The sequence below is a fragment of the Homo sapiens genome, chromosome 21, assembly GCF_000001405.40.
Source record: "Homo sapiens chromosome 21, GRCh38.p14 Primary Assembly".
Taxonomy (NCBI): domain Eukaryota; kingdom Metazoa; phylum Chordata; class Mammalia; order Primates; family Hominidae; genus Homo; species Homo sapiens.
The window spans coordinates 14,872,540-14,894,302 of NC_000021.9; the positions used below are offsets into that span (position 1 = coordinate 14,872,540).

A 21,763-nucleotide genomic window follows, 5' to 3' on the forward strand; every position below is an offset into this window, starting at 1 on the left:
TATATAAACAATATGTTTCTACATAATATATCTATAATATATCAGAATACATTTAATATTTCTATAATTTAATATATGTTTTATGTTTATGATATAGAAATTTCATACATTATATATCTGTGATGTAGATATATATAATAGATATAGAAATATACATTAAATAGGCCGAGCACGGTGGCTCACGCCTGTAATCCCAGCACTTTGAGATGCTGAGGTGGGAGGATCACAAGGTCAGGAGATCAAGACCTTCTTGGCCAAAATGGTGAAACCCTGTCTCTACTAAAAATACAAAAATTAGCTGGATGTGATCATGGGCGCCTGTAATCCCAGCTACTTTGGAGGCTGAGGCAGGAGAATCGCTTGAACCCGGGAGGCAGAGGTTGCAGTGAGCCAAGGTTGTGCCACTGCACTCCAGCCTGGTGACAGAGCTAGACTCCATCTCAAAAAAAAAAAACAAGAAAAAAGAAATATATATTAAATATAATTTTTGTTTTTATATATAAATATATATTATATATAGAAATGTATTAAATATATATTATACACACACACACCATTTGGAAAGGCTAAAATCATTATGTAGTTGCATAGTGTTAGAAACCAAATTGAAGGAGTCTTTCACTGCTAAATATAAGAAGGATTTAGTTTAGGCCTATGAAGCCAGTGCCCAACATTTCCATAATCAAATAAAAGATAATGACTAACAGGGAAACTGAGAAGGCAATCAGCCCTCAGATAGAGTGCAAACAGACAATATTCATAAGTAAGAATAGAACATATGTCCTAGTTAAGCTGGCACCCCTTTTTTAATAATGGGTCTCTAAAATAAAGGCAGAGTTAGCAATATAGACAGAAAATTTCATTTGACCATTCAGAGCCATGGCTCAAAAACATCAAAACTGACTACCATTCTGGTAGCATCACTGAAGTTTGAAGATCAATGAAGTTTGAAGGCAAAACCTAGGAGGAAAGCCTGGAGTATGTTTAGACCTTCAATGACTAAACTCTTGATACAGAATGCTAAGAAGACTTTTGTCTAAGGAGTACAGCCAAATAAAAGTAGGAAGACAAGAGACAGAGCAAGACCCTTTCACTGAGATCAGACAGAAATACAGATCATAGCAGGCTACAATAAGCTGTCTAGACCCAATTTTTTAAGAATAGTGAAAGAGGGGTAGGGAACTCTCTGCCCAATCCTGTCTCACAACCCTGATCAATACTCTGATATGTCATGTAAAGAGGTCAGCCAGGTTAGGTAATGGAGGTCTCCTGACCCATTGACCTTGTTTTGGCATTAGACATTCAACTTTTTGCCATTAAATGTCAGATCAATTCCCAATGATTTGAACATTACCCAGAAGTCTTTGGCTTCCTGGAATCTTTAATGAAAAAAAAATACAAACACTACCATTTCCAAGAGCCTAATGAATTATTATTCATCACATTAGCTTAATCCATTTCCCTTGCTCAATTTTTAATATTCTTGTTTCAGCTGGATTTCAGCATTTATAATGCACATGTGTGTTTTTTTATCTATGTAATTTTCAGTGTAGGTTTATATCTATCTTTTTTGTACATGAATAATCTTTCCTTCTCAGAGTCTTATAACTTACCATAAACTGTCTGTTTTCTCCTATAGTCCTTACCAGAATTACCCTGATATTACAATTATAGATGAAAAGGTTTTTCTCTGTTTAGGTCAAGGAAGGCTGTGTTTATCGTTTATTCTATATGATATCTTGCATTCAGTAGACATTCATACACAAGTTAGTAAAATTTGGGCCCAGCTGTACTCCCTTCAACTTGATGTGGTCAAGGGGAAACAAAAGGGAGGCCCATACATACAGCTACTGTAAATTTATAGGGTATACAAATTTTCCCCTTAGGAATAAGGTGGGCCAGTCTCTTTGGACCTCCCAAAGAAGAATCAAGTCTGGTTTTCAAATGAAAGCTTCAGAGTATGAAGCAATATTTCACAAATTATTAGAGCTTTTTAAGGGCATGCCCTCTGCCTAGCAGTACTGGATAAACAGGTATTTAGCAGCAATAAATCCTAACTCATCTTTTTATATCTCAGGGATCACCAAGAGTTTCCTGTTTCCAGAGACTGGCACATCTTTTTGATGGGCATGATACATGTTATTTGAATGACTGATTGAATGAATAAATGAGCCAACAATTGCCATCCCTAGATACCAACAAATTTCCAACTGGCATCTGCCTGCTTGTTAGTGTCATTTCCATTAGGTGTGACAAGTTGTAACCTAAAATAACACCTCATTGAGACACTAGTTCACTTTCAGGACTGCTGGGGACAAGGAAGGGAGAAGACTACAGCTCCTTGCACAACCAGCCTCCCACTCCCATTGTACCTGCTATACAATTGTTGCTATTTTGGCTGCCAAAGCTCCATTAAGAGCTCTGGAGCTCCTGGCATTTGCAGGGATACTCCACTAAATTTAAGCCCCAAAGATGACTTATTCTTGCCAGCTGGGTGCATCAAACCAAAGGAACAATACCAGACAAATATATAGAGATCTACTTCATAAATATATAGAAGATGGAAACAGAGAAAACGGGCTTTTTGCTGGTGTAATTTTTGCTAATTTTTTTTTTCAGTTTTACCATCAATTCAAATGTTCATGCCAAAAGAGGTAATATTGCCAGGGAAAACAGGCAACTGCAGAGAATTCATCAGTGTTGGCTGCTTCTGGAGGCGAGGTCTTGGCTTCACAGTGGAGTTGGGGTTATGGCCTTATCCCAGTTTGGGGGTATAGTTAGTTAGAGTCAGCAAAGGCTACTTACTGCACACTGCTCCTCCACTTATCTTGGGTGGGGCTGGGCCAGTTCAGAAACAGGGCAAGGTACTAGGCTGTCCCTTCCCAGCACTCTGATCCTCCCACCTTCATGGGGGATTATTGGCCCTGACTTAATGAAAGTCCTCACTGCAGACAATTCACATACTGAATTATTTGGCACTGGCTCTCTGAGTTGTACTTAACTTTCTGTTCTTTCATTGCCTTGAGGTACAAATTATTTTTAAAAAGAAAAATAAGTAAATAAAAAAAATAGATTCATCATTATTGCCCTGAATTGAGCCACCTGGAATTTGTTTTAGTTCATCACTGAGAAGAGCAACATAAACCTTATGACTTTTTTTAATTTCATAAGTGCAACATATTTGCATTGTGATGTTTTTCATTGCAGGGCTCACTGGCAGACAAAACTCAGCGCTTTATTTCCTTTGTAGATGTTGATGCAGGTAAGTGGCATTGGGACAGTATGACGTGTTTCATGATGACAGTCACGCTCTGCTTGGTGACCTCTGACCTCCCTCTTCAGGGGCTCTGGAGGTTAACATTTTTGTACATCCACACCGGAAAGAATGTACTCAAGAGTAGAAAATGTGGGAGGAATTTAGTGAATGAATAGAACTTAGCGGGCAGAGAAAATAACTAGGTAATTTTGTCCACCAAAAACCCCAATTACCAGTTATTTACAGCCCACTGGTCTGCAACTTCGGTTGCCTAATCAGACATTCATATAAGTGCAGTCCCTTGCTCAAACAGTAATCCCTTGTCTTGACTGACTCTCAGACAAGGAAGAGCAGGCAGAGGAGATTGTAAAGCAGAAGCAAAGTAGTTGAAAGCCACTGAGAGTGGTTGAGGACATGGGTGGGTTCACATCTGTAATGTGTTGGAAGCTGAATACAGCTGTTTGGCACTTTCAACAGGCAGTGACCATGAATGGGATGTCCTGCCTCCAGGGCAGTGCAAACAGGCCTCCAGCCAGACAGCCATCTCGCTCTCCTTTTCCTCCAGCTGTGTCTGCAGAAGGGTCCCGAGTAGCATCCTGTAGTTCCAACCTGCTTACTCCTTAGGACTAGGAAACAAGAAAATCACTGCTAACCCCACTCCAAACTTGCCTGATTTCAGAGCTCAGTATCATTCTGCAGTTTGCAGTCACACTGGGAGGGTCTTTTTCTCGTATATGAGAAGGAGGACAGAATGTTGGAAGGGAACGCTCCTCGACAGATGGGAATGAGAGTGGTGTGAGTAACTAACTGGAGGCAATAAAGGTGTTAGCAAACAGCAGGAGGGAAGAGTGGGCCCCACCGATCACTGGCTGTCCCGCATGCTGTGTGTTGTACCAGTGCCAGTGGGAGCTGCCTATCCAAGCCTTGGTATTAACAGCATGTGACTCTGGCAGATTCACAATGTCCTCATTGGCTTTGTCAGTATGACAAGCTTTGACTGAGTCCCTATCCAACTGAGGGGCCACCATCCCCGTCACCCTCCTTTCTGATGCCTTTTCTCCTGATCATCCCTTCTTCTTCCTTCTTCTTTGTCTGGCTTCTTTTGTTCTTCCTTTTTCTGTCCCTCACTCCTCCTTACATTATATTCCCAGCTTCCTTTGGGATTTTTGTTTTAACATAAGGAGAACCTTACCATCGATGTCAAGCTCAGCATGATATAACCAATTACCCTAAAACCACAGCCATCTAGCCTTATCTTGTATTAAAAAAAAAAAAAAGAAAAAAAAACAGATGTTGCCTATAATTGTATATCTGCTCAGGTTTAAACATAAATTGCAGTGAGAATTCTTAAGGCAAGAATACCATTGAACCAAAATACGTTATAACAGAAAGGGGTCTCAGATGCTTATTACCTCCTCCCAACTGTATTTCATTTTACAACAAAGCAAATCACAGCTTGGAAAAGTTAAATGAGTTCCTAAGGTTCCACAATAAATAAGGGCGAAGGGGCCACTACTTAGGACCCAGATCTCCTGATCCCTATCTAGTGATTTTTTTTACTTCATGAATTTTAATGTAAAAAAAGAAAAAGAAGCCACAGATCCTCTAGACCCTTATGCAATATAGGGAAATATTCCTTAACCCCAATCGTGCTTTAATCCTTCTTCTACTGAAACAAATACAGCTAATGAATTAGAGATGCTCTTTTGTTCTCCTGTTAACTATCTGACCTTAAGGAAGTCACTCAACCAATTGGTTCTCAGTATTCTCTTTCCACACTGAGGGAAGTGGACAGATAATCTATGGTTGCTTCCAGCTCCAAAATTCAGTGACCCTTTAAGCTTAACTTCTTTCACCAGAATACCTGTCATTTCTAGGTAAATAGTGTTCTCAGTCCTTTCTGTTAAAAGAGGTTAAGTAAATAAAAAGGAAAGATCAGGCTATGCTTTTGGCCTAGATTATAACTTTGTGACCAAGGATGAAGGAATTTAATAGCAATAAGAAAGCTTCCAGGGTCTACCATTTACAATTTAAATACTTTACTTGGGAGGTTAAAAGTTCAAAGTTGAGTCACAGTCTGAGGTGGCTCTGCTCTTCCTTTTTAATTATCTGAGGTCAGGAAGTTAATAATACGAGAAATCCCCAGCGGAGACCTCTTGTGCACTGTGTGAACTTTAAACTTGCTCATTTTTTTCTTAAGGGTAAAAAGTTCAGCAGAAACACAGTGGACTTTTCCTCTTAGCCTCCACCCATTCATCCCCCAAGGTCAAAAGTTGAACTGTAAAACAGAAACCCTTGTTCTCTGATCCACATTTAAACAGATCACTTATTAAAAGGTAAACATTCCACATGCAAGCCAAAGTTCCAAGTGAATCTGCTCAATAAAAATAAAAAAACTGTAATAAAGTCTTTGATCTTTTCCACTTGTCTTAGAATTGAACAACAGAATTTATTTTCTCGTTTTTTGAATCTCAGAGAAGGGGCAGTCATATAAGCTCTTTCCTCACCTACCTCTGCCCTGAGATTGGCATATCTAAAAGAGATAAACCTAAGATATTTTAAAATAGTCAGATTTGGAGCCTTACCTTAAGGCAATTTCTTCAACTAATTCTACGCCATTTATGTTTGTTTATTTGTTTTGCTCAAACAGGAATTCAAGAACAGCAAATGTGATTTAAATCAGAGATATAAAGTACTACAGAATAAAAAGGAGTTTGCTGAAAATGGTAGAGGATGCTGTATTAGTCCGTTTTGCTGCTGATAAAGACATATCTGAGACTGGGCAATTTACAAAAGAAAGAGGTTTAGTGGACTTACAGTTCCACTTGGCTGGGGAAGCCTCACAATCATGGTGGAAGGTGATAGGCATGTCTCATATGGATGGCACAGGCAAAAAAAAAAAAATGCTTGGGCAGGGAAACTTCCTCTTATAAAACCATCGGATCTCGTGAGACTTATTTACTATCATGAGAACAGCATGGGAAAGACCTCCCACCAGGTCCCCCCGACCCACCACAACACGTGGGAATTTAATATGAGATTTGGGTGGGGACAAAACCAAACCATATCAGATGCAGAGAAAATAAAGAAATGGATGAATATATCCAATGAACCTCATATGAATAATGAATGGAAAATATCTGAGATCTTCACAGTGTTAAAGCTCAAACAAGAAGTGAAATAAATAGCTACAGAGCTCCAAATAAGTATTTAATGATAGTGACAAGACTCACTTTCTTGAAGTAATGATGGCAAACTTTAAAAGTATGGAAAAGCCATTGACCGAATACTAACCCAATCCAATCAGCATGCTTAGGAAAACTCCCTGAGATGATCACATGAAGCTGTTATTTCATGCAACCCATGTGTCCGTTTTTTTCAATGTGTACTTATTGGAAATGCTTTCACTTGTTTAAACAAGTCCTACCTGTGACTCAATATTTGTTTAAAAACTTTTTAAGAAAGCATCTTTGTCACCGTTTATCTATCTAAATGCGAATAATACCACTTGCTTCCCACCTTAATAATTTTTGTAAAGATTCTCATTAGAGAATACTTAAGCACAGAAAACGGTAAGAGCCTTGAAATTAAGATATACAATGAACACGTTTATAATAAATACTTTTCACTGATGTCAGTTTCGACAGTGTCATTTAAGTTTAAACGACTTTGTGATCACTTCTAACACAAATCAAAACTAGAAGATATGGCTCTAAGTAAGTTGTGTTCTAGATCCATTTACACTGTGAGTAACATTCACGACACCCTCTGGGACTCCTGGATGCAGCTGGTGACCCAGACCCAGGAATGACACAGCCAGGAAGGAAGTGAGGAAGGTGCACAGAGCTACTTCCTCTTGTTAGAACTCCCCTCTCAACAGCTGTAAGGAAGAATGGAAATTCCCTATGAATCAAAGTGTGACTTCGAAGTATGGGATACAATTTGAGAGACCTGATCATATTGATTAGGATGTTGACCAAAAGGAAGTCACTGCATTTCATTTGGACACTACTCAGACATTTAAGCTGGTATGACATTCATGAGAAACTTCTGGTTTCAATTCATCTTTTTCCCATGAATATTTATGTTCCTTTTTTTTAATCTTTAAGTCAGTTCATGATATTCAAGCTAGTTATTTCCAACCTTCTGTCTGACTGAATTCTGTATTAAATCTTTCTTTGTTTCCCCCCTGCAAAACAGGTTAATTCATGAGAGGCTATTATATAGCAAGGACCATGCTGCCATGCTGTCTGTGTTCTGGGCATATGTACCCTCAAAGTCCTCATAGGATAGAAATAGTACTAAATCTGTATACAATGAACTGGACACAACAATGTGGGGACTATACTACAAATACTATGAACAAAGTGCCGGGAGAACCCTGAGTCTTTGCCATGTTCTTTGATGCCTTTGTGCCTTACACATTCTGATCCCGCCACCTAAAATAATCCTCTTGTCCTTCATCCCTGGGACCCTGTACTCTGCCTCAGTGCTTCTCTTCCTACACACTTCACCTCCCCTTGCCTCTCTGAATGTAAGTGTCTCTTCCACAGCAATCTGTGCAAAGACTAACACCAGAGTAACTATCTTACAGTATTGTAACACTTAGCTAATTTTTCTGCCTCCAACAATAAATTCTGATCTATTTGAGGAAGTGAACTCCAATACCATTCTCAAGGAAGTCCTTTTTTAGAAATATAGACTGAAACCTGACAGAAAAGGGATTCAGTGTATATCCTAAAGGATGGCATAGGAGAGCTGAGACTTAGCAGGGTATACACTAGAGTGGTCTCATGCTCTTCTTGCCAGCACACCACTAGGTTAGCAGTTCTCAACTTTGGCTGTAGTTGGTATAACCTGGAAGCTTTAAGATATTTTTGATGTCTAGGTCTCAGTTCTAGAAATTTTGAATTCACTGGAATGGAGTAGATTTGGGTCATTAAGGTTTTTAACTGTTCCCAGGTGATACTGGGGATGATGAGAACTTAAGGATGAGAATCAATGCACAGCAAGACACTGTGAAATGGGAATAGATGTTAGAAGCCACCATTGGCACTAGGGGTCACAAATGGATTGCCAATTTAAGAATACCTTATTTTTCATAATTCTCTTAAGGAATAAGTTTTCTTCCACCTGAACTGTTTCAGCAGTTCTATTATCCTCATGATAATATGAGCTTTCTTAGCATATTACACCAACGTCTCTGTAAAATCAACCAATCTTTTTCTTTATCTTCATTAATATCTTGTGTGCTGAATCATGTAAAACTGCTTCCTATTGCCTAAGTGTGTCATGCAAACCTTTCCCCATACCATCCTATATATCTGCTTCCAGGAATGCCTTTCCTCTTAATCCCCCAGGAATTCATACTCACACTTTAAGACCTGGAGCCAGACATAGTAGCTCATGCCTATAATGGCACTGACTCAGGAAGATCACTTGAGGCTTGGAGTTTGAGACCAGCCTGATAAACATAGCAAGATCCTGTCTCTAAAAAAACAAAAACAACCCCGTCTCTACTAAAAATACAAAAACATTAGCTGGGCATAGTGGTGGGTGCCTGTCGTCCCAGCTACTCGGGAGGCTGAGGCAGGAGAATGGCATGAACCCGGGAGGCAGAGCTTGCAGTGAGCCGAGATTGTGCCACTGCACTCCAGCCTGCGTAACAGAGCAAAACTCCGTCTCAAAAATAAATAAATAAATAAACAAATATAAAAATAAAAAATAAAAAACAACTGAGCATAGTGGCTTGCAGTTGTAGTTCCAGCTACTTGGGAAGCTGAGGCAGGAAGATTGCTTGAGCTCAGAAGTTTGAGGTGCAAGTCAGCCATGACGGTATTACTGCACTCCAACCTGGGCAACAGAGCAAGACTCTGACTCTAAAAAAAAAGGAAGAAAGCAAAGACCCTTCTTAGGCTTGTCTTTTTACTCCTGTTCTGTGATGCATACAACTTGGTTTACCATTCAATTTCAATCAAAACAGTTAACACATTGCTATCTCTTTGCCACTTACTGTCTTGTTCTGTTTAGGCTGCTGTAACAAAATACCATAAACTGTGTAGCTTATAAACAACAGAAATTTATTTCTCACAGTTCTGGAGTCTGGGAAGTTCAAAATCAAGGTGCCAGCAGATTCCATGTCTAGGGAAGGCTGGTTTCCTGATCCATGGATCATACCTTCTCTCTGTATACTCACATGGTGGAAGGGCCAAGGGATCTCTCTCAGGGCTCTTTTATAAGGGCACTAGTTCCATTCATGAAGACTCCACCCTCATGACTTAATCACATCCCAAAGGCCCTACCTCCTAATACCATCACCTTGGGTATTAGGATTTCAACATATGAGTAAATTTTGAGAAAACACAAATATTCAAGCCATAGCACTTCTCTTGAATTTTTTTGAAATTCCCAAGGGCAGAAAATGTCTTTTTCTGGACATGCTAATTCCAGTATGCATACTGTATTTGATTCATGGGAGGTGCTAAATGAACGACTATTGAATAAATGGATGGAAGGATGGATAGAGGGACAGATAGAAAGAGGATTATGTAAATTAATTCCTTCATCTATTTATCACTTACGGGGATTCTCACTATACTCATCATTGAGGAAAGAGAATGACTTCCTCTTATGCATCTTTAAGAAGTTATGAGGCCCAGGAGCCTGAGCCAATTACACATAATTAGGGACTCCAGGCCAGGGGAGGGAGGGTGCCCAGGAAAAACAGTGACAATCATGATTTCCTTGGTCATGTTAAGATTTTCTAGATAAATAAATAGAAGCAAAACATTCTAGTCAAGTTGTGTCTCAAAATGCTAACTTTCTAGATGATTGCTTAGCCCTGAGCCAAGTCTCCTTTTGCTCTTCCCTCCCGTTTGTCACATTGGCCTTGAGGTCTTCTTCAGAGAATCATAATCAGCATAAAAGAATGTGCTCCGGCTGGGCGCGGTGGCTCACGCTTGTAATCCCAGCATTTTGGGAGTCTGAGGCAGATGGATTGCCTGAGGTCAGGAGTTCAAGACCAGCCTGACTGACATAGTGAAACCCCATCTCTACTAAAAAAAAGTACAAAAATTAGCTGGGCATGGTGGTGGGTGCCTGTAATCCCAGCTACTAGGGAGGCTGAGGCAGGAGAATCATGTGAACCTGGGAGGCGGAGGTTCCAGTAAGCCAAGACCGGACCATTGTACTCCAGACCGGCAACAAGATCAAAACTCCATCTCAAAAAAAAAAAAAAAAAAAAAGAAAGAAAAGAAAAAAGAAGAAGAAGAATTTGCAATTTGCTCCTCCTCTCTCGATTTGAGTTCCAGCTGGAATTTGAAAAAAAAATTATGGGTTCATAGGTTTGTTCGTGCTAAAAGGAATTTTAGGCACCATCTCATCGTGTCCCTACATCTTACAGATCTAGAAGCACTTGGGAAAAGTTTGGCAAATGCATAGTCTATGGCAGTTACCAGTGTAGCTAGATGGTTCTGGGCCACATCAGCATGGGAAGGCCAATGAAATCACATCAACCTTAGCACCCAGATCTTCCAGGAATTGGGCCCTTCTTAAGGTCTTCTGTACTTCCAGGAAGTCTCAAGAGGAAAGCTCATGTGTACTCAGAAATAAGCCCTGGCCTCTTTGTCCCTGGCCTCTTCCTCAAAGACCCCCTCACCAAGTCCCTGGTCTGGGTCCCTCTCTGAGAATAGTCCACCCTGAGTACCACTATCCTCTGTGGTCAGCTCTAGAGCTCCAAGGCTGAGGACACTAGTCCTCCTACAGGGGTGGAAGAGATAAGGGAGTGGGAGGAAGGGAAGGGAGGTGGAGAAAGAAAGGTATTGAAAAGCATAGGAAGAAAGCAATCTTCCTCCAGCTTTCAAGCAGCACTTTGTTACTGGTGGGTCAGACATAACTTGGTGTTTTCGAATTTGGCTCTAAAATTAGGTCCAGATTTCAAATTTGTCCCTGCTACTTAGCATCTTTTTGATTTTTAGCAACATAGAAAACCTTTCTGAACTTGAATTTTTACTTTTTCCCTTCTTTAATATAATGGAAATGATAATTCTGTCCTCATAAAATTATTGTTAGCATTAAATGGAATACTGTATTGTTATACCAGTGACTGAGCAGAGTGCCAGAAGTTAGTAAGCACTCAACAAATGATATGGATATTATTATTTTCGTCTCCATTGTTCTCATCACTACTAGTTTAATTGTTCATTGACATAGCTCCTTCAGCTTCTGCTCCTAACCCTGCTCTCAATTGTTTTCAATGGGAGTAACTCAGGCCAGCTGGAAGAAATCAATGCCTCCCCAACCTCTTTGTTTCCTACCCCCATTTCCAGATACCTGTATATAAAACTTCTTTTTTTCTCCGTTTCTTCACAAGACAGTTTGGGAACCAATTGGTACAAAGAGTTCCTTACAAAGCCATTTTTAACTCCATTAGCGGGTCAGCTAGGACATCCCAGCTGCTTTACTAGTAAAGTCCATCTGTCCTTCTGAAATAATGGCAGATGTAATTGCCACTTTTCATTACAGGAAAACAACAAATACACATTTTGGTAGCTTGATTTCCCCCAAAGGAGCTCTTGCCTTTCCAGTAATAGAGTTCTAGCTAGACACACGGTTGGCCGAAGACAATCCTTCCCACCTTCAACCATGCAGATGAGAGCAATACCCCAAAACTGAGCAGAGCAAGATGATGAAAAGAACCCCAAGCCAAAATAACTTTGTAATTATCCATCCAGTAACTCTGATAGGTCTGGACTGTTTCAACAACTATATTTAGACCTCTGTGTTCACCCTATAGCCTAAATACCAGGTGGTGTCGTTTCTAAACACTGCAAAGAGAAAGTTTTGTTTAGACATCAATGCAACCCCCAAAGACAATATTTAATTAAAATATTAATACTGGTCATATGCCCACAAAGTAGCTGGGAAAGCAAGCACCCTTTCATTCCCAATATAGAAGCCTCAGGCCGGGCGCGGTGGCTCACGCCTGTAATCCCAGCACTTTGGGAGGCCGAGGCGGGTGGATCATGAGGTCAGGAGATCGAGACCATCCTGGCTAACAAGGTGAAACCCCGTCTCTACTAAAAATACAAAAAATTAGCCGGGCGCGGTGGCGGGCGCCTGTAGTCCCAGCTACTCGGGAGGCTGAGGCAGGAGAATGGCGTGAACCCGGGAAGCGGAGCTTGCAGTGAGCCGAGATTGCGCCACTGCAGTCCGCAGTCCGACCTGGGCGACAGAGCGAGACTCCGTCTCAAAAAAAAAAAAAAAAAAAAAAAAAAAAAAAAAAAAAAGAAGCCTCAAAGTTGGTATTGGAAAAGATTTCAAAGTTTCTAACACAGACAAATATTAAACATTCATGGTCACTGTTATGAACTGAATGCTTGTATCCCTCCAAAATTCATATGTTGAAACCCTAACTCCCAATTTTATGGCATTAGGAGGTGAGGGCAGAGCTACTATGATGGGAGTAATGACCTTATAAGAAGAGGAGACATCAGAGTTTGCTCTCTCTGCCACGTAAAAATGCAACAAGAAGACAGCCTTCTGCAAACCAGGAAGAGGGCCCTCATCAAGAACCAAATCTGTTGGCACCTTGACCTAGCACTTCATAGCCTCCAGAACTATGAGAAATGAATGTCTGTTGTTTAAGCCAAACAGTCTATGTATTTTATTATAGCAGCGTGAGCTGACTAATATAGTCATCCTTAGCATCTAAACCTTCTATTAACTGAAGAAAGAAAAACCAACTCAAGGCAGGGAAACTTTATGCTTTATATAGACGGCAACTTTAAAGAGCAATTGTTTAAGTTACATTTTAATTGCAAATGGATGTATTCTAATTCATTCTCTGAGCAAATTATGGGTCTTCACATCAGATAAAGAAGCTCTATATGGAAAGAGGTAGAGAAAGTGCCCCAAAACTTATTGGCCTCGTAGTCCCAACCACAGGCAAGAGAAATTATTAGCTCAGCTTTGGGGCAAGATTAGACAGCCCCACCTCAGTTCAGGTCACCTCCAATCTGATTTCCTAAGAAAGCTCACAGTATGCTAAGAACCTAGTCACACATCCAAGCCAATTTTGGGATTAGCCTAGACCTGTAGTCCAGACTGATAGCCTCGATTTTATATTTTTGATGATATAGACGGTCAAATATACATAATTATTTTTTTATTATATTATATAACGTAATTATGTATACTTGACTATGTACATTTTATGAAATCAGAATCCATGGATTGTCCCCATAATGATTGTCCCTCCAGGGAATAAGTTTTAAGATTCAGATTAATCCATTTGGGGCATCTAAAAACGCTCAACACCCTATTCTTTCACTCTACCCATGCTGGAATAAGACCAACTTCAAGATTCAGGACACATGGCTCCATGTAACCAGAGATCCCATGCCAAGGGACAGTAGGCAAAAATAGACACAGGTGGATATGTATGACTTCTTTCCATGAGCTTCCAGGCCTCCAAGGGACAAAATTCTTGATTTGGTGCCAAAATGTTCTATTTGTCTTATTAGAAAAAATTACTCAGTAAGGTGATATACCCCAGGAGGAGAGAACTGTTCTCACATTATCCAAATAATTATTTAAGTCTATACATTTTCACTGAGGGTTTTAATGATGAAATTATTAAGACGTTGTATGAGGTGAGCTGTCTTAGAAAAATTTGCTGCCTATTAATGGCTTTCCCATGCATTATTTTTGCTTTCATGTCTTCTAAGTCTAAAAGCTTCTCCCACATTTCTTTAGATCATGGCTTATGTTTGATAATATTGTGAGATACATCTAATCTCCTGTTAACATTTGTATAAAGTGCATTTCCTATCTCTGCATGACATTGTTCTACCCTCTTTGAAGACATCAGCTTTGTGATAGGTGGCATTTGATATTGTGACTAACCTAACATCTACTGTACGAAGGGTAATAATACAATACTAACAGTTATTATACACTTATAATGTGCCAGGCACCTTCTAAGCTTATTTTGTTTTATAATTCAGTGTATAATATATGTTAATTTTCATAACATCAAGGAATAGATAATTTCTTTATTTCCATTCTATGAACAAGGAAACTGAAATTAAACAACTCCGCCAGTAGCATGCCACTAGCAGGTCCAACATCCAAATCCAGAGATGATCCAGCATTATGATGCAAAATATACCAATGGCGCTATTCTCACTTAACAGAGACCATTTGGAAAGAAGTAATAAAAGGATATGAACTGAACACAGTTACAGAATCACAGACTCCTAAGGCCAAAACGAACTTCAATATCCTCTAGTTTTTCTTGCCCAAAATATCAATCCAAGAAATTAACTGGTTACTTATTAAAAGTAGACAGCCAGGAAAAAGGAGAACTGAATATTTCAAAACAAATAGTCCAAATGGACAAACAAGCTCTGAACAGAGCCACTTTTAGAAGGAGGAGAGAGAACGTTAAGGCATTTATGAATAAAAGGCAGACTTCTTTAGAAGGAGTCGCCATATTGGCTCACTACAACTCCGCCTCCCGGGTTCAAGTGATTCTCCTGCTGGGATTACAGGCGCCCCCCACCACGCCCGGCTAGTTTTTGTATTTTTAGTAGAGACGGGGTTTCACCATGTTGGTCAGGCTGGTCTCAAACTCCTGACCTCGTGATCCGCCCGCCTCAGCCTCCCAAAGTGCTAGGATTACAGGCGTGAGCACGCGCCTGGCCACAAAATGCAGACTTCTAAAGTAGAAGTCCAGCTTGGCCAGATAATAGACTCACTAGCATATAAACTGCTGGAAGCTAATGTAGGAGGTCAGGAAGGAATGATAAGGTTAGAGGAACCAAAGCCCAGAGAGGGTTTTTGTTTGGTTCTTTGGCAGCACTTAACTCTAGGAAGTGATGGGGAAATTCTAATTTCTGAGAATGTTTTTCAAAAGGATGACAGAGATTAGAGCTTCCAGTGAAGAAAATATTGCTGCAATCAAAGAAAGCAAAGTGCAATAAAGCCCTCAGGCCAGACGGAATTTATCTAAGTATTCTGGAGAAAATAAGGTGTGAAACAGCAGAGACTGATGAGGACATATACTATGACCATTAAAATAACAGCTGTTCCTGAAGACTGTCCAATTTTTAACACAGTATCTATGGTTTTTTTTGTTTTTGTTTTGTTTTGTTTTGTTTAAAGGAAACCAAGAGAAATCCCAAGAATTCAGACAAATGAACTTTGTCTTGGTGCTCGGATACTGGTTGGGGGAAAAAGTCCGATGATTGTGCCAAGTAGAATCTGAGAATTGAAACTTGACAGGCCCCCATCAACTCTGCAGGAATAGAGATTTTTACCTCTCCAAGCTTAAAATTGATAATAAGTAATACAGAGATACACCATGCACTTGCCCTTTTAAAAAGTTTGAAAATGAAGAAACAAATGCTTTCTTGGATCTGAAACTAGCTAGAGAAATTAGAATCATGTATAGTGTATGCTTAGGCCAAAGAGAAGAGATTAGCTATAGCACTCCTGGAATCTGATGTTGGAATGAAATGTAATTTCACCTGCATTTTTTAAATAATTAGGGAGTATGTGTGAGTCACAAGCAATTGACTCTCACATGATTGACACTCTGTGGGAGCAAGCAGTGAAAAAGAAATGGTGAGCACCTGATCCTATGATAATCATCACTAGCATTTATTGAATGGTTACTACGTGGCAGGCACACTGCTTAGTGTTTGACATCCATTATCTCAATTATTCTCAGTCTGTGAGTGATGGTATAAACTACTTCAGAAACATCTGCTGTTTCAGAAAGAAAATGCTCTAAGGTGTAGGGCAGATTATCAGCCAGGGTCACAGTTCAGATGAGTTCCAAAGAAAGCTTATCTAAAATATTCTGATGAAAATGTGGCTTCCATTTAAAACCGAATGGGGGCCAAGAGAATTGTAAAGGAAACTCGAGGATGCAATCTATTCTCTGCCCCTCAATCCCTGAGCCAGCCAGGGATACTTATTTTCTCCTAAACCTAAAAATAGTCACGCTAACATTGGTTTCAGACTCTCAGAATCACCAGCTCTGAGACTACAGAGATCTTCTCACTCTTTCCTATCTCCTGGTCCTTAAACCCGCTTCCTTACCTTGCTTCTGTGCCTTGCTAATTATAACTGCTTTTTGTTTGTTTGTTTCCTGATTCCTGTGGCTCAATCTGTGTTCCTAGGGCCTTCATCTGTGGTACCCACCTGGGATTTTAGACTCATGTGGGGGGTCTAAAGCTTTGGCTTAAGTTTAGTCTGAAACTCTCCTAGGCTTTGGTCCACAACCTCCTGCCACCCAACATGGTGCTGACAGGGAGGACAATCTGTAGCCCATGAAGATTAGAGCTATGCTATTAATCAATGATCTTTCCCAACTAAAATACTTAGTTCAGGGCTCTTCGCACAATGCTCAAAGTACTTTCTGTTCAATAAAGGCTTGTTGACTGTATTTACAACACATGCTGTACTATGAACTGCATACCAAAGTCCAAATTACAACATATAACCTCTATGACAAGAACGAGTAAAAAAATAAAACCACAGCCTTGGAGGGATGCCAGATGATGCTGGACCCATGAAAAACTCCAGAGAGGAAACAAAAGGTACTGAACAGAAATGGAGTGCACACACCGTAACCTTGTTCTCTCATCTTTTGTGAACTATGACGGGTCACCTTTGCAAAATTATAAGCCTTTTGAGAGTAGGGTACAATACAGCTTCAACGGCAGGGTGCCTACAGTCCCCATCACTCCTCCTGCCACCAGGGAACTTGCAGGAAGGGAGCTTTCCTGTTAGCTTTCCTCCCTGGTAAAGCACTGACCACAGCCTTGAATGCCACAAAGCCACATTGGGAAAAATATGAAGTTTTGTCCTACCCACATTATATCTGGACAGATAGTTATTTAGAAAAGAATCATTCTGCATTTTATGTATTATAACATTGGCTATACAGGATCTCTCTCTCTCATCACCCAAGTCTGGTTCCTTCCTAGTCTACATCTGCCTCTTGCTCCTCAAAGAGCTTACTTTTCCTCTCGGTTTCTTTAAGCAATAGCTCTCCTTACTATGTGGTGTGATGGTTAATTTTATGTGTCAGATTGGCTAGCCTGTAGTAACTAGTTATTCAAATATGAATCTAGGTATGGCCATAGAGATATTTTGTAGGTGAGTTTAATATCTATAATCATGGACTAACCTTTTAAAAAATCTATAATCAGTTGACTTTAGGTAAAGGACATTATCCTCAACAATGTAGATGAGCCTCATTCAATCAGTTGAAAGGTTTAAGGGCAAAAATAAGTTTCCCTGAGGAAGAAATTCTGCTTCAAGATTGCAATATCAGCTCCTGCCTAAGAATTTTCAGCCTGCTGGCCTGCCCCGATCCTATAGATTTTGGACTTACCAGCCTCCACAATTGCATACTGAAAGAAGTCTCTCTCCATACATAGGCATGCCTTGCTTAACAGAGGCACATTCTGAGAAATGCATCCTAAGGCAATTTCATCATTTTGTGAACATCATACAGTATACTTACACAAACATAAATGGTATAGCCTGCTACACCCCTGGGCTATATGGTATAGCTTATTGCTTTCAGGCTACAGACCGGTACAGCATGTTACTGTATGGAATACTGTAGGCAATTGTAACATGATGGTAAGAATCTGTGTATCTAAGCCTAGAAAAGCTACAGTAAAAATGTGGTATTAAAAGACAAAAAAAAATTGTACTCCTGTAAAGGGCATTTACCATGAATGGAGCTTACAGAATGAGAAGTTACTTTGGGTGATTCAGTGAGTGAGTAGTGACTGAATGTGAAGGCCGAGGATGTTACTGTATACTACTGTAGACTTTATCAACACTGTACACCAAGCTACACTATATTTATTTTTTTAATTCTTCAACAATAAATTAATCTTCACTTACTGTAACCTTTTTATTTATAAGCTTTGTTTTTAACTTTTTGGCTATTTTGTAGGAACACTTAGCTTAAAACATAAACTCATTGTGCAATTGTACAAAAATTCTTTCTTTATATCCTTATTCTACGAGCCATTTTCTATTTTTAATTTTTTTTTAAATTTTTGAACTTTTTTGTTAAAAACCAAGACAAAAACATACACATTAGCCTAGGTCTACACAGGATCAGGATTATCAAGATGTCACTAGACGATAGGAATTTTTTAGCTCCATTTTTACTTATGCAACTACTGTCATATAAGCGGGCCATCACTGACCAAAAACATGTTTATACAGCACATTAAAGTCTATTCATTTACTATCTTGGGGGTAAATTAGTGTTGCTGCTGGAACCCTGACAATTTTCAAGTGAGGGAACGTGGAGAAATACAAATATATTTTTATATGTTTTACACATAAAATATATAATAATTATACTTTTATTATTATATTATATATATTTATCCTAAAATAGATAAATGTTATATACATTTATGTTTTTATACATAAAATAAATATATGTTATATACATTTATGTTTTTATAAATAAAATAAATATATGTTATATACATTTGTTTCTATAAAATAAATATGTTATATACATTTATGTTTTTATAAATTAAATATATGTTATATACATTGTGTTTTTATAAATAAAATAAATATATGTTACATACTTTTTTTATAAATAAAATAAATATGTTATATACATTTATGTTTTTATAAATAAAATAAATATATGCTATATACATTTGTTTTTATAAATAAAATAAATGTTATATACATTTATGTTTTTATAAATAAAATAAATATGTGTTATATATTTATGTTTTTATAAAATAAATATGTGTTATATATTTGTTTTTATAAATAAAATAAATATGTGTTATATATTCATGTTTTTATAAATAAAATAAATATGTGTTATATATTCATGTTTTTATAAATAAAATAAATATGTGTTATACATGTTTTTATAAATAAAATAAATGTGTTATATATTTGTTTTTATAAATAAAATAAATATGTGTTATATATTTATGTTTTTATAAAATAAATATGTGTTATATATTTATGTTTTTATAAGTAAAATTAATATGTGTTATATATTTATGTTTTTATAAATAAAATAAATACGTGTTATATATTTATGTTTTTATAAATAAAATAAATACGTGTTATATATTTATGTTTTTATAAATAAATACGTGTTATATATTTATGTTTTTATAAATAAAATAAATACGTGTTATATATTTATGTTTTTATAAATAAAATAAATATGTGTTATATATTTATGTTTTTATAAATAAAATAAATATATGTTATATATATTTATATATATATTTCAATTTTCTCACTTGTAAATTGTCAGGGTTCCAGCAACAAAAATAATTTACCCTCCAGATTTCAAATGAATAGACTTTAATGAAGGAACAATGGATAGAAGAGTTGGCAGGATTAAGGAAACAAAAAAGGGCAGGTTAGGCACCAGAGACTAGCAACAGAGGGAAGGCATTACCCCTCTAGAGCTGAAAGGGTAAGAGGAAGAAAGAATTTGCTGAAAGCTGGACCTTGGGTGGAGCCTCCTCACAGGACCTGTGGTCAGAGAGGGACACAGCTATCTCCAGACAGGCGGCACTGAAGCAGTGAGGGGGCAAGAAAGACTCTGATCTCCCTCTCCTCCTACTCTCCAATTTCTTGTCCAGTGAGTCAGGATTCAATTGGTAGAACCCAAACAGAGTTGGCTAGGAATAGAGCATGGCAAGGCAGAGAAGAGGAGAGAATGGGTCTTCCAGGGAGCGGGGTGTGGGGAGGGGAGCCACTTCGGGAAGCTGAGATGGGAGGATCGCTTAAGCTAAGAAGTTGGAGACCAGCCTGGGCAACATGGCAAAACCCCATTTCTACAAAAATATTTTATGAAATTAGCTGGGCATGGTGGCACGCACCTGTAGTCCCAGCTACTTGGGAGGCTAAGGTGGAAGGATCGCTTGAGCCTGTGGGAGGTCGAGGTGCAGTGAGCTGTGACTGCGTCACTGCACTCCAGCCTGAGTGACAGAGAGAGACCCTGTCTCAGAAAAAAAAAAAAAAAAAAAAAAAAAAAAATATATATATATATATAGAGAGCATAGCGTGGTTCTCCTAAGACTCAAGCTACATATTCATACTGGTTTTCAACTTTCATAAAAGATTCCGTGTGATTTCACTTCTTATCTACTAATACACCATATCCAATTAATACCAAATTATGTCTTATCTAATATTATTATTTTCCCTGGCCCCAAGTCTTTCTTACGTATTATTTAGTTACACTGGCAATCACCCAGAATTTAGTTGCGCTTCCTTTATTCTGTATCACTTTTATCAATCATGTACCCCAAACTCAATTTTAATCAATTAATAATGACACATACATCCATTTACATACAAAATATAGACAACGATTTTTATAAAAGAATCTATATATGTTCAATAGGTTTGGGGCTAAATATTATTCTCTTTTATACCTATCAGATTGCATTCATTGTAATTCTATGTACATAAAATACGTTCAATAGCTTCTTTTTCTTGTAAATTTTCATCTTTTTAAGACACAAAACAGTAGACTTATCTATCACTGTCCTATATATTATGGTCAAAGAGAGAAAAGGGCATATTATTCTGCTTAGAAAGGAGTTAACCATAGCAGTCATATATGGAGTTATCTGTCCAGGACCCTCATCTGGGAAGTGCCTGTGTTCCTCACTCCATTTGTGCGGTTATCACAGAAGGTGTCCTATGGCCACAGTTAATTGGCTCAACAGTAGACATTAGACCTAAGATGACCTCATCACAGTCCCTTCCCCAGACTTCATTTCCTAGCTAAAGCATATAAGTCCAGGCTGGGCACCTGATTCAAACGGAAAAAACTGGAATTCACCTTTGGGAATATTGCATCTAGAAGTGAGAAGTATACATTGGGTCTCTGAACTGTGATGTATGAAACTAAAAGGTCAACTATCAGTAACTGAATTTCCAGTCATGTAGAACAGAAAAGGGGAAAAAGTAAGAGAAAGAAAAAAAAGTGAGTGTGTGTGTGTATGTATGTGTGTGTGTGTGTGTGTGCAAGTAACAGAAGTGGGAGCCATGTAGATTCTTAATGGTGCTGGAGTCTGTGTTTCTAATGGTACCTCAAGTCCAGCTACATTTCTACCTTTGAGTCTTCTAAATCTTCCACCTTGCTCAAATTAGTTTGAATTGGATTCTGTTATATATAAGCCAGTGGGTTCTTATGAATAAAATTCCTACCATCTAAACTTATCAAATGCAAGGTTAAGCCTCAAAAAGGTCGGTGCACTTGTCAGAAACATGTAGAAAGTAACTTATGAAAGAAAAATGAACTTATGAAAAGAAAAAAATCACACATTAATTTCTTGTCAATGAATCTGACTGGCTAATTTTCCATTTCTAGGATGTTGTCTTCAGTGGCAGGAAGGTTTAAACCCATCGTTCCCATTAGAGTTTACACTAGGAGCAATAATGAACCTTAAATGATTCTTAAAC

The 21,763-nt window shown here is 38.3% G+C and overlaps 1 long non-coding RNA gene across 1 annotated transcript in view, besides 2 other annotated features; it reads right to left on the minus strand.

The window, feature by feature from the left end:
- Window positions 1–21,763, minus strand: part of ASMER1 (adipocyte associated metabolic related lncRNA 1) — a 101,831-nt gene that overhangs the window by 55,702 nt on the left and 24,366 nt on the right. The gene's annotated exons all lie outside the window — the stretch shown is intronic.
- Window positions 5,511–5,580: an enhancer, noted in NCBI's record as "active region_18286". NCBI's record gives its function as "activates an Ori minimal core promoter by ATAC-STARR-seq in GM12878 lymphoblastoid cells {active_cell/tissue: GM12878}" and the evidence as "EXISTENCE:reporter gene assay evidence [ECO:0000049][PMID:35858748]".
- Window positions 6,989–7,283: an enhancer, noted in NCBI's record as "tiled region #6418; HepG2 Activating non-DNase unmatched - State 5:Enh". NCBI's record gives its function as "activates a minimal TATA promoter and a strong SV40 promoter by Sharpr-MPRA in HepG2 cells {active_cell/tissue: HepG2}" and the evidence as "EXISTENCE:reporter gene assay evidence [ECO:0000049][PMID:27701403]".